The sequence below is a fragment of the Homo sapiens genome, chromosome 2 (assembly GCF_000001405.40).
Source record: "Homo sapiens chromosome 2, GRCh38.p14 Primary Assembly".
Lineage (NCBI taxonomy): Eukaryota > Metazoa > Chordata > Mammalia > Primates > Hominidae > Homo > Homo sapiens.
The window spans coordinates 98101627-98114866 of record NC_000002.12 but is presented as its reverse complement, the minus strand read 5'-3'; the positions used below and the strand labels follow the sequence as shown (position 1 = coordinate 98114866).

The 13240-nt window shown below is 34.3% G+C and overlaps 1 protein-coding gene across 15 annotated transcripts in view; it reads right to left on the bottom strand.

The window, feature by feature from the left end:
* The window catches only part of VWA3B (von Willebrand factor A domain containing 3B), a 243450-nt gene that overhangs the window by 215750 nt on the left and 14460 nt on the right, over window positions 1–13240 (bottom strand). The window lies entirely within an intron of this gene.

Here is a 13240-nt window from a genome sequence, read left to right as displayed (position 1 = left end):
ACTATGTACTAGGCATGCTTACAGGATAGGAATACAATTGTTACCTACAACATAGTCCTACTCCTTCTTGTTGCCTACAACATAGTCCTGCTCCTTCATGGAACTCTCAGAAGCCTATGGAGAGGATTCAAAGACTAGCTAGGATTTGGCAGGACAGAAGATGAGGTAAGGCTTCACAGAGATGTTTTTTATCGGATGATTATTTTATTGTAATTTTAATTATTATTTTTAAGTCCCAAAGGTGGGAGACAGAATGGTGGTACTTGTGGTGCTGGTACTTCCTTCCCTCTGCCTTACTAGGAAGGCAGGATAACAGCCTCCTCTGGAGAGCTAAAAAGAGCAAGGCTGAATTTTATAGACACCCTGGCCAGGCTTGCTCCCCAATCACAAGGGGTGATTTCAAGTCTTGAAGTGCAACTTTCACAATAGTAAAGAGTAAAGAATGGATACTTGAATTCCATCAGCAATAATCTCACTCAATAGACCACTCCAGCTCTAAAATTTGTGTTTCCAATATTTCACCTTCTTAGCTGACATTGATGAAGTGACTAAATATCACTAGCAGCATTCTCTGTTTACCTAAGACATTTATCTGGAGTTGGGAGAGGAAGCTGTTTTTTGAGGCTTGAAGGAAATAAGACTATGGAAGGCTTCATAAGCTGTATTGGGAATTGAAATGTAAGGCATTGTGAGTTCTGCATCCAGTAACAGTGGAGTAGATTGTAGTAGCTAACCTTCACACAGAAAAAATATGATAAATTCTGGACGAAATATAAAAAGAGCTATTTGTAGGCATTAGACAGCAATCTAGAACATGCAGAAACTGGAATGGCATCCATCCTAAAAAGGAGGGCATTTGTTATTTGTATGTATTTAGCAGGAAAGAGAGAGTTTGGAGTTTGAGTCCAGCCAACTTAACTGCCTACTAGAATGAAAATCAGCTCTCCATCTATCAACTGGTAAATGGATAAGAAAATCGTAGTACAGCCATACAATGGAATACATATGGTCGCAAAAAGGAATAAAGTATTGGTGCTGGTTACAACATGGATGAACCTTAAAAACATTAAGCTAAGTAAAAGAGGCCAGTCACAAAAGACCCCATATTATAAATTCTATTTCAATGAAATGCTCAAAACAAGCAAATCTATAGAGAAAGTTTAGGGGTAGGAAAGTGTAGAGCTAAGAAGTACAGAGTTTCTTTTTGAGGTGATAAAAACATTCTAAATAGTTGCACATATCTGTGAATATAGTAAAACCATTGAATTGTAGGTAGGTACATTATAGCTCAATAAAGCTGTTATAAATAATATATAGTATCAATTTTTATAAGAATAAAAATCACTTCTCCTAGAAGAAGGATTATACAGTTGAACCTTGAATAACATGATTTCGAACTGCATGGGTCTACTTATATGCAGATTTTTTTCAACCAAATGTGGATAAAAATACAGTATCAGTGGAATGTGAAACCCACTCATACAGAGGGCCAACTTTTCATATATGTGGGTTCTGAAGAGACAACTGCAGGAACTGAGTATGCATGGATTTGGTATACACAGGGGGTCCTGGAAACAATCGTTTGCATATACCAAAGGAAAACTATACAACCCAAAGTCTCTACAACCATTCACATTGTCCAGCATAGAACAAAAAATTATCAGATACATAAACAAAGAGAAAAATGTGACCAATAGTCAAAAGAAAATGCAATCAATAAAACCTACCCTGAAATGGACCAGATGTTGAAATTAGAAGAAAAAGGCCTCAATATATTATAAGTATACTATAAATACCATAAACATTATATATATATATAATGTTGGAGGGAAAGAAAACTGTGATCATAATAAGTGAACAAATGGGGAACTTAGCAGAGAAATTGAAAAGAAAGGAAATTTTAGAACAAAAAGTACAATATCTGTATGGGCTTCACAGCAGATTGGAGGTACCAGAATAAAGTGTTAGTAACCTAGAAAATCTGTCAAGAGAAATTACTCAATCTGATAAACAAAGAGAAAAAAAATATTGACAAAATGAACAGAGTTTCAGTGACCTGTGGGACAATATCAAGATGCTTAGCAAACTATGATTTGAGTCTCAGAAGAAAAAGAGAGAACAGATAGGGCGTAAAAATAGATTAGAAGAAATAATAGTTGAAAATTTCCAAGATTTGATTAAAAAAAACCCTACAGATCCAAGAAGCTCGATAAATCCAGTGCAATGTATGTACAAAGAAAACCAAAAGAAGGCATATCAATAGCTGAAAACAAGAATAAAGAGGAAAAATCTTAAAAGCAGTTATAGAAAAAAAGATACATTATATACATCATATGGAAGGAAAATGTTACGGATTATGTCTGATTTCTCTGATGAAAAGGTGGAAATCAGAAAACAATGGCTTGACATATTTAAAGGTCAGAAAAAAAAAACTTCAACCAGTAATTCTAAAACCAGCAAAAGTGTTCTTCAAGAATGAAGGTAATGACTTCAAACTATTCTACAAGGATACAGTAACCAACACAGCATGGTACTGGTAAAACACACACACACACACACACACCCACACACACACACACACACACCCCAAACAGACATATAGAACAATGGAACAGAATACAGAACCAAAAATAAAGCCACACAACTACAGTCATATGATCTTCAAAAAGTTGACAAAAATAAGCAATGAGGAAAGGACTCCCTATTCAATAAATGACTCTGAAATAGCTGGCTAGCTACATGCAGAAGAATGAAACTGGACCCCTACCTTTCACTATATAAAAAAATTAATTGAAGATGGATTAAAAATTTAAACATAAGATCCTAGGGAATCCTAGAAGAAAACCTAAGAAATATTATTCTGGGCACAGGCCTTGGCAAATAATTTATAACTAAGTCCTCAACAGCAATTGCAACAAAAACAAAAATTGATAAGTAGAACCTAATTAAATTAAAGAGCTTCTGCTCAGCAAAAGAAACTATCAACAGAGTAAGCAGACAACTTATAAAGTAAAAGAAAATATTTGCAAATATTTATTGAAAATATTTGCAAACTGTGCATCCAATAAAGATTGAATATCCAGAATCTATAAGGAAGTTAAACTATTCAGCAAGCAAAAAATAACCCCATTTAAAAATGGGCAAAAGACATGAATAGACACTTCTCAAAAGAAGACACATAAGTGGATAAGAAACAAGAGAAAATGCTCAACATCACTAATCATCAGAGAAATGCAAATCAAAACTACAATGAGATACCATTTCACACCAGTCACAATGGGTACTATTAAAAAGTCAAAAATTTACAGATTTTGGTGAGATTGTGGAGAAAAGGGAATGCTTATACACTGTTGCTGGGAATGTAAATTAGTACAACCTCTATGGAAAACAGGATGGAGATTTCTTTAAGAATTAAAATAGGACTACCCTTTGATCCCACTATTGGTAATCTACCCAATGGAAAAGAAATCATTTTATCAAAAAGACACCTGCCCTTATATGTTTGCTGTAGTATTTTTAAAATGTGGTTTATATATATAGACCACATGGTGTGTATAGACTATGGAATACTACTCATCCATTTCAAAAGATGAAATCATGTCTTTTACAGCAACATATATGGAACTGGAGGCCATTATTCTTAATGAAATAACTCAGAAACAAAGTGAAAAACTACATCTTCTCACTTTTAAGTGGCATGTGAACACACAGACATGCAGAGAAAAATAGACACTGGAGAATCCAAAAGGTGGGGGGAGCAGGGGTTGTATTAGCCCATTTTCACACTGCTGATAAAGACATACCTGAAACCGGGAAATTTACAAAGGAAAGAGGTTTAATGGACTTACAGTCCCATGTGGCTGGGGAGCCCTCACAATCATGGTGGAAGGCAAGGAGGAGCAAGTCACATCTTACATGGACAGCAGCAGGCAAAGAGAGAGTTTGTGCAAAGGAACTCCTCTTCTTAAAACCATCAGATCTTGTGAGACTTATTCACTATTGTGAAAACAGCAAGAGAAAGACCTGCCTTCATGATTCAGTTACCTCCCACTGGGTCCCTCCCACAAACGTGGGAATTGTTGGAGTTACAATTCAAGATGAGATTTGGGTAGAGACACAGCCAGACTGTATCAAGGGTGAAGGATGAAATATTGCTTATTGGGTACAATGTGCACTCTTCAGATGATGGATACACTAAAAGCCCATACTTCACCACTGCACAATATATCTATGTAACACAACTGCACTTGTACACCTAAATCCAAAAATATAAACAAAATTTGGGAAATGTCCCAGTTTCAATAAAAAATCATTCATCATTCAAAAAACCAGGAAGATTATAAAAAAAGACAACTGACAATATCAACACCAAGATGAGAGATGTCATAGAATGACCTAACAAGGATTTTAAAGCAACAACCATAAACATACTTAATGGCAATTACAAACATTCTCAAAATGAATAAAAACATAGGAAGTCTCAGTAAAGAAATAGAAGATATAAAGAAGAATAAAATGGAAATATTAGAGCAAAAAATAGAATAATCAAAATTAAAAACTCAATGGATGAACTCAATAGCAAAATGAAAAAAGAAGAATGAGTAAGCTTGGAGAACAATAAAAATTACCCAATCTAGACAAGAGGGAAAAAATAGCCTGAGAAAGCTGAACAGAGCCTTACAGATATGTAGGATTATTTTTTTTAAAGATCCAATGTTCATATTATTGGAGTGCCAGAAGGAGAAGAGAAAGAGGGTAGGGGGAAGAAAAAGAAGAAAAAAAAAAAGAATTCAAAGACATAAGGGTTGAAAATTCTCCAAATTTGGCAAAAACAAAAAACATAAAGCAACAGATTCAAGAATCTGAGTGAAATTCGAAGATAATAAATGCAAATAAATTCACACCAAGGCACATCATACTCAAACATCTGAAAACAAAAGACAAATAAAAAAATCTTTAAAGCATATATCAATAGGGAAAAATAAATTCTAATGATAGTGGTTTTCTCATCAGAAACCATGGAGGCCAGAAAGAATGGGCACAATATTTTTTAAGTGCTAAAAAAAAAAAAAAAGAACTATCAACCCTAAATCTTACATCTGGTGAAATTCTTCTTCAGGAATAAAGTAGAAATAAAGACATTCTCAGACAAAGAAACTAAAGGAATTTGTGGCTAGCAGAGCTACTCTTAAAGAATAAAAGAACTTCTCTAAGCAGAAAGAAAATAACAAAAGAAGGAACCTTGGACCATCAGGAAAGACGAACACAGTAAGCAAAACTATAGGCAAATAAAATAGACAGTCCTTCTCCTTTTGAGTATTACAAATAATGTTTGATGGTTGAACCAAAATTCTAGCATAGTCTAATGTAATTCTCAATGTAAGAAGATAAAATAATACATTTTATTATAAATGGGAAGGGCAAAGGGCTATAAAGGGAAAAGAAGGTTTCTGCTCATCACTCAAACTGGTAAAATGTTGACATCAGTAGATTTTGATAATGTATGTATTCATAATGTAACACCTAGCACAATCACTAAAAAAGCCATATGAAGATATACAATAGAAAACATTATAGCCAGGCGCGGTGGCTCACGCCTGTAATCCCAGCACTTTGGGAGGCCAAGGTTGTCAGATCACCCGAGGTCAGGAGTTCAAGACCAGCCTGACCAACATGGAGAAACCCTGTCTTTACTAAAAATACAAAATTAGCTGGGCATGGTGGTGTATGCCTATAATCCCAGCTACTCGGAAGGCTGAGGCAGGAGAATTGCTTGAACCCGGGAGGCAGAGGTTGTGGTGAGCCAAGATTGTGCCATTGCATTACAGCCTAGGCAACAAGAGCAAAACTCTGTCTCAAAAAAAAAAAAAAAGAAAAGAAAAGAAACATTATAGATAAATAAGAATTCTAAAAAGTGTTTAGGTAACCCAAAAGCAGGTAGGAAAAAAACAGACAAGCCAAAAACAGAGAAAAAGAAAACGAAAAATAAAATGGTCAACAAGCTCTAACATATCAATAATCAAGTTAATTGTAAATGGTCTAATATACCAAGTAAAAGATAGAGATTGGCAAAGAGGATTTTTTTAAAAAGACTCAACAATATACTGTCTACAGGAAATTTGCTTCAAATATAATTATATATATAAGTTAAAAGTAAAAGGATGGAAAAAGATAGGCCATGCAAATATTTAAAAAAAGGAAATAGGATTGGCTATATTAGAAAAATAAACTTCATAGCAAAGAATATTACTGGGGACAGAGCAGGACATTATATAATGACAAAGGTGTCAATCCACCAGAAAGACATAGCAATCCTAAATGTGTATGTATCACCCAATAGAACTGCAAAATATTTGCAACAAAAAACAGAATAACTGAAAGAAGAAATAGACAAATCCACAATTATACTTGGAAACTTCAATACTGCTTTCTCAATAACTGATAGAACAAGAACAAGAAAATCAGGAAGGATACTCAACACCATCAATGAACAGGATCTAACTGACATTTATAGAAAGCTCTATAAAACAACAGCAGAATACACACTCTTTTCAAGTATTCATGGAACATGTACAAAACAAAGCACATATTTGGTTATAAAACATCCTAAACATTTTACAAGAACTGAAACCAAACAAGTACGTGCTCTGTCCAAGATGGGAACAAACTAGAAATCAAAAATAAATAAAAAGATAACAGGAAAATCTACAAATATTTAGAAACTAAACAATACGCATCTAAAAGTCCATAAGTCAAAGAGGAAGTCTTGATGAAAATAAAAGACTTTTAATTAAGTGGAAATAATAATACAACATATAAAAATTTGTGAGACATTGCTAAAGCACTGACTGGAGGGAAATTTGTAGCACTAAATGCTTACATAAGAAAACATAAAATCTCAAATCAATAATCAAAGCTTTCAACTGAAGAAATTAGAAAAAAGAAAAGCAAAATAAACCCAAACAAGCAGAAGGAAATAAATAATAAAGATCAAAGTAGAAATCAATGAAATTGAAAACAGAAAAACAATAGAGAAAACCAAACAAAAAAGCTGGTATTTTTTAAAGATCAATAAACTGACAAACCACTAGTAAGACTGACAAAGATAAAAAGAGAGAAGGTATAAATTACAGATATCAAGAATAAAATGGGAAATACCACAAAAGATGCGGCAGACATCAAAAGAATAATAGAATACTACAAACTCCTCACAAATTAGACAACTTGGATGAAATGAATTAAATCCTCAGAAAACAAACTACCACAACTCACACAATATAAAATAATTTGACTAGTCCTATATCTGTTTAAGAAAGTTAAATTCTTGACTTAAAACTTCTTCAAAAAGGAATCTCCAGGCCTGGATGAGTTCACTGGAGAATTTTACCAAATGTTTAAAGAATAATTAATATTAATTCTACATTGTTTCTTGTTATCTCAACAAGAAACAAAAAATAATAATTCTACAAAACATCTTCTAGAGAATGGAAGAGGAAGGAATACGTCCCAACTCATTTTATGAAGCTAGCCTTGTCATACCAAAACCAGACAAAACCATTATTTAAAAAAGAGAAAACTGCAGACCAATATTCTTCAAGAATACAGATGCAAAAATCCGTAACACAACATTAGCAAATTGAATTCTGCAATGTATAATATAAAAAGACTTCTAAAACATGCTCTAGTTTACTCCAGGGATGCAAGGCTGGATTAAAAAAAATAATATAATCCATTAAAGTAACAGGCTAACAAAGAAATATCACAGGATGCTATCAATTGATGGAGAAAAAAATTGACAAAATTCAGCACCCATTAATAATAAAAATTCTCAGATTACTAGGAATATCAGGGACCTTCCACAATATAATTTTTAAAAATCTATTGCAAACCTACAGTTAACATCATACTTAGTGGTGAATGACTGAAAGCTTTCAGTGCAAGGACATCCACTCTTACCGTTGCTATTCAACATAGTGCTGGAAGTTCTAGCCAGCGTAACAGAGCAAGAAAAGGAAAGACAAGACACATAGATGAGAAAGAAAGAAATAAGACTTTTCCTCTTTGCAGATGGCATGATAGTCTACCTAGAAATCTTCCAGAATAAGTGAGTTTGGCAAGATCACAAGATAGAAGGTTAACATGCAAAAGTCAGTCATATTTCTATATACTAGGAATGAACATGTGAAAACCAAAATTTAAAATACAATTCCATCTACAACTGCTAAAAAAAATAAAATACTTAGGTATAAATCTAACAAAACATGTGCAGGCTTCGTATACTGAAAATTTTAAGACAGCTGATGAAAGAAATCAAATAATATGTAAATAAATGGAAAGATATTTCATATTCGTGAACTGAAACACTCAGCATTTTCGTCAGCATAGTAAAGATGTCAATTCTCCTTTAATTAATATACAGGTTTAATGCAACTCCTATCAATATTATAGCAATATTTTTGTAGACATGAACACAGTTATTCTAAAATTTATTTGGAAAGGCAAATGAACTAGAGTAGCTAAAACAATTTTGAAAAAAAAATAAAGTAGGAGGACTCACCCGGCCCAATTTCAAGAAATTCTATAGTTACAGTAATCAAGACTGTGTGATATTGACAGAGAAACACAGATGAATAGAACAAATAGAGAACCTAGGGCCAGGCGCAGTGGCTCACACCTGTAATCCCAGCACTTTGGGAGGCCGAGGTGGGCGGATCATGAGGTCAGGAGATCGAGACCATACTGGCTAACACGATGAAACACAGTCTCTACTAAAAATGCAAAAAATTAGCCGGGCATGGTGGTGGTCGCCTGTATTCCCAGCTACTTGGGAGGCTGAGGCAGGAGAATGGCGTGAACCTGGGAGGCGGATCTTGCAGTGAGCTGAAATTGCACCACTGCACTCCAGCCTGGGCAACAGAGCGAGACTCTGTCTCAAAAAAAATAAATCAAATAAATAAATAAATAAATAAAAACAAAATAGAGAACCTGGAAATATAGGCACAACCAACTTTTAACAAAAATCCAAAAGCAATTCAAAGTAGGAAGGGTAGTCACTTAAGTAAAATGCACTGGAGCAACTGAACACCCATAGTAAAAAAAAAATGAACCATTTGCTTTTGTGTGTGTGTGTGTTTTTTAAGAGATAGAGTCTCACTCTATCACCTAGGCTGGAGTGAAGTAGTGTGATCATAGCTCACTGCAACCTTGATACCCTGGGCTTAAGCAATCCTCCCACCTCAGCCTCCCAAAGTGCTGGGATTACAAAAAAACGTGAACCTTATACAGAAACTAATTCAAAATAGATCACAGGCTAAATGTAAAATTATGAAACATTTAGAAAAAAACATAGGAGGGGGTAACATAGGAAGATCTTTGTGGTGATAAACAGTTCTCTCTCTTGATTGTAGTGGTGGTTACAGAAATCTACACAAGTGATAAAATTATATAGACTTGCAAACACATTGCATACATGTCAAATTCCTCATTTTGATATTATACTATTATTTTACAAGATATGACCATTGGGAAAACTGGGTGAAAGGTACATGGGATCTTTACACTTTACAATTACCTCAGAATATATAAGTATGGATGTACAAATGGATAAATGAATGAATGAATGAGTAAATAAATAAATGTGCAGGTGAAATAAAGATAATTTCAGATAAACGAAAACTGAAAAAAGCTGTCACCAGCAGACCTGCACTGTAAGAAATGCCTAAAAGAAATTATTCAGGAAATAACATCAGTTGAAACCTCAAATCCTACAAGAAGGAAGAATATTTTAAGTGGTAAACATGTGGATCTTAGCAGTGTATAGTTTTCTTCTCCATTTCTTTAAAAAACAGATGACTTTTAAAAGCAAAAATTATGACTCTGAATTGTGAGATTTATAATGTATGTAAAAATAAAATACATTAAAACAGTAACACCAAGGACAGGAGTGAGGAGTAAGGGGAGGTATGAGTGTTGAAAACTTGTTTCATTTTATATGAAGTCATATGAAATCTACTTTTAGTGGACTGTAACAAGTTAAGGATGTAACAAGGAAAGCCAATTAAATGAAAAATAAAGATTTCATCAAATGAAACACTAAAAAATATTCATTTAGCACAAAAGAAGGCCAAAAGGAGAAACACAGATGAAAGAAAAAGATTGGACAAATAGAAAGCAAATAGTAACATGGTAGACCTACATTTAAATATATCAATTATTACATTAAATGTATAGAATCAAACACTAGTTGCTATAGTTTGGATATTTGACCTCTAAACCTAGTGTTGAAATTTGATCCCCAATGTTGGAGGTGAAGCCTAATGGGAAGTGTTTGGATCACGGCGACAGATCCCTCATGAATGGCTTGGTGACATTCTCGTGGGAATGAGGGAGTTCTCAATCTTAGTTCTCATGAGGACTGGTTGTTGAAAAGAGCCTGGTCCCTCTTCCGCTCTGTCTTTTGCCTTCTCTCTTGACATGTGATCTGCACACACCAACTCTCCTTTGCCTTCTATCATGAGTGGAAGCTTCCTGAGGCCCTCACCAGATGCAGATGCTGGTACCATGCTTCTTGTATAGCCTGAAGAACCATCAGCCAAATAAACATCTTTTCTTTATAAATTACCCAGCCTCAGTCATACCTTTACAGCAACACAAATGGATAAAGACACTAACTGATTTAATTAATTGGTTGAATTAATTAATTAAGACATATGCAACTGCATTAAAAACACCAACTCCAACTATATGCTGTCCATGAGAAGCCCTCTTTAATATATAGACTATAGATATTTATCATTAAAGATTATAAACACATACACCATGTAAAACTTAATAAGAAAGCTACAGTGGCTATATTAATATCAAAGTAAACATCAAAACAATGACTAATGTCTGAAATAAATATGACATATCAGAATTATTAAAATTTGTCAAGTCCTTAGAAAAACATAACAATCCTAAATGTGTATGCATTTGGAACTTCAAAATACATAAACAAAACTTACAGAACTAAGGGAGAAATGAACAAATCCAGTAGACAAAAAAAGCACTAAATATATATAATTTTTCTCCCAAGACTTTCAACCATCTTTATCTAATTAACATTTATAAATACTACCTAACAACTGTGGAATGCACACTCTTTTCAAGTGTGCATGCAATGTTTGCCAAGATAGACTCTGGCCATAAATAAATCTTAGTAAATTTCAAAAGATCAAAATCTTACAGACTATATTCTCTGACCTCAATGTAATTAAATTAGTAATCCAACAAAAACAAGTACTTTTAAAAGTCCTAAAATAACTGGAAATTAAACAACACATTTTTTAAAGTGTATTCAAGAAAAAAAATCACAAGGGAAAAACTTTAAAGCAATAATATTAAACACTACTGATTGAGATTTGTGGCATTCAGCTAAAACAATGCTTAGAGGAATACTTACAATTTTAAATGATTATATTAGAAAAGAAGAAAGGTTTAAAAATAATTATTTAAATTTATATCTTTAAAAGCAGGAAAAAGGAATGCAAATCAAGCTCAAAGTAAGCAGAAAGAAATAAATAATGATGATTAAGTCAGATACCAGTGAAATAGAAGACAAAGAATTTTAAAAACCAGCAAACTAAAAATGTGTTTCTTTGAAAAGAGTTATTATATACTGCTAACAAGACTTAGCAAGAAAAAAATCAGAGGAAACACAAATTATCAATATCAGGAATGAAAAAGGTAACATCACTACAGATCCTACAGGCATTAAAAAAGAATGAAAGAGGTGACATCACTACAGATCCTACATGCATTAAAAGGCTGTTAAGGGCATATTATGATCAATGCTTTGCCAACATATTAGAAAATACTGTTGAGGAAAATACTGTTGGTGTGTGCATATTAGAGAATGTTGAGGAAATTCCTTGAAAAACACAATTTTCCAAATTGGCATTATGAAACAGAATATCTGATTAGCCCTCTGTTTATTAAATAAATTGAATTTTTTATTAATCTTTTCCCACAAACAAAACTAGGCCCAGATAAATTTCACTTGTCAGTTGTATCAAACATTTAAAGAAGAAATACCAATCGTGTACAAATGCCATCAAAGCATAGAGGAGGAGGAACACTTCCAAATCATTTTGAGTCCAGCATAATCTTGATGCTGAAACCTGACAATGACGTTACAAGAAAAGAAAGTTACGGAGCAATATCTCTTACGAACTTAGATGAAAAAATTCTTAACAAAATGTAAGAAATTGGTATTTTCGCTAACTTCCTTGACTGAATTAGGTTTATTTGAAATAAGGGCCGGCCGCCCCATCTGGGAAGTGAGGAGCGCCTCTGCCTGGCCGCCACCCCGTCTGGGAAGTGAGTAGCGTCTCTGCCCGGCCGCCTGGTCTGGGAAGTAAGAAGCACCTCTGCCTGGCCACTGTGCAATCTTCCAAGTGTGAAGTGACAGCCTTTCTGCAGGTGTACCCAACAGCTCCGAAAAGACAGCGACCATTGAGAACAGGCCATGATGACGATGGCGGTTTTGTCGAAAAGAAAAGGGGGAAATGTGGGGAAAAGAAAGAGAGATCAGATTGTTACTGTGTCTGTGTAGAAAGAAGTAGACATAAGAGACTCCATTTTGTTCTGTATTAAGAAAAATTCTTCTGCCTTGGGATGCTGTTAATCTATAACCTTACCCCCAACCCCGTGCTCTCTGAAACATGTGCTGTGTCAACTCAGGGTTAAATGGATTAAGGGCAGTGCAAGATGTGCTTTGTTAAACAGATGCTTGAAGGCAGCATGCTCATTAAGAGTGATCACCACTCCATAATCTTAAGTACCAAGGGACACAAACACTGCGGAAGGCCGCAGGGACCTCTGCCTAGGAAAACCAGAGACCTTTGTTCACGTGTTTATCTGCTGACCTTCTCTCCACTATCATCCTATGACCCTGCCACATCCCCCTCTCTGAGAAACACCCAAGAATGATCAATAAATACAAAAAATAAAAAATAAAAAAATAAAAAATAAAAAAATATAAACATGCAAAAAAAAAAAAGAAAGATGGGATAAAACTGCTTCTAGTATTTTTCCTTATATGGGAATTCCACAGGCCCTGACTCTGGGAGACCCTACTCAAAAGATATTTAGATGGCACAGGGCTGTAGTCCATGTGAAAGGATGTATATGTAAAAAGCACAGGCTGAGCCCTGAAGAACAAGGCCTTGCCATTTGAATGGGCCTCCAAATCAATCTACAA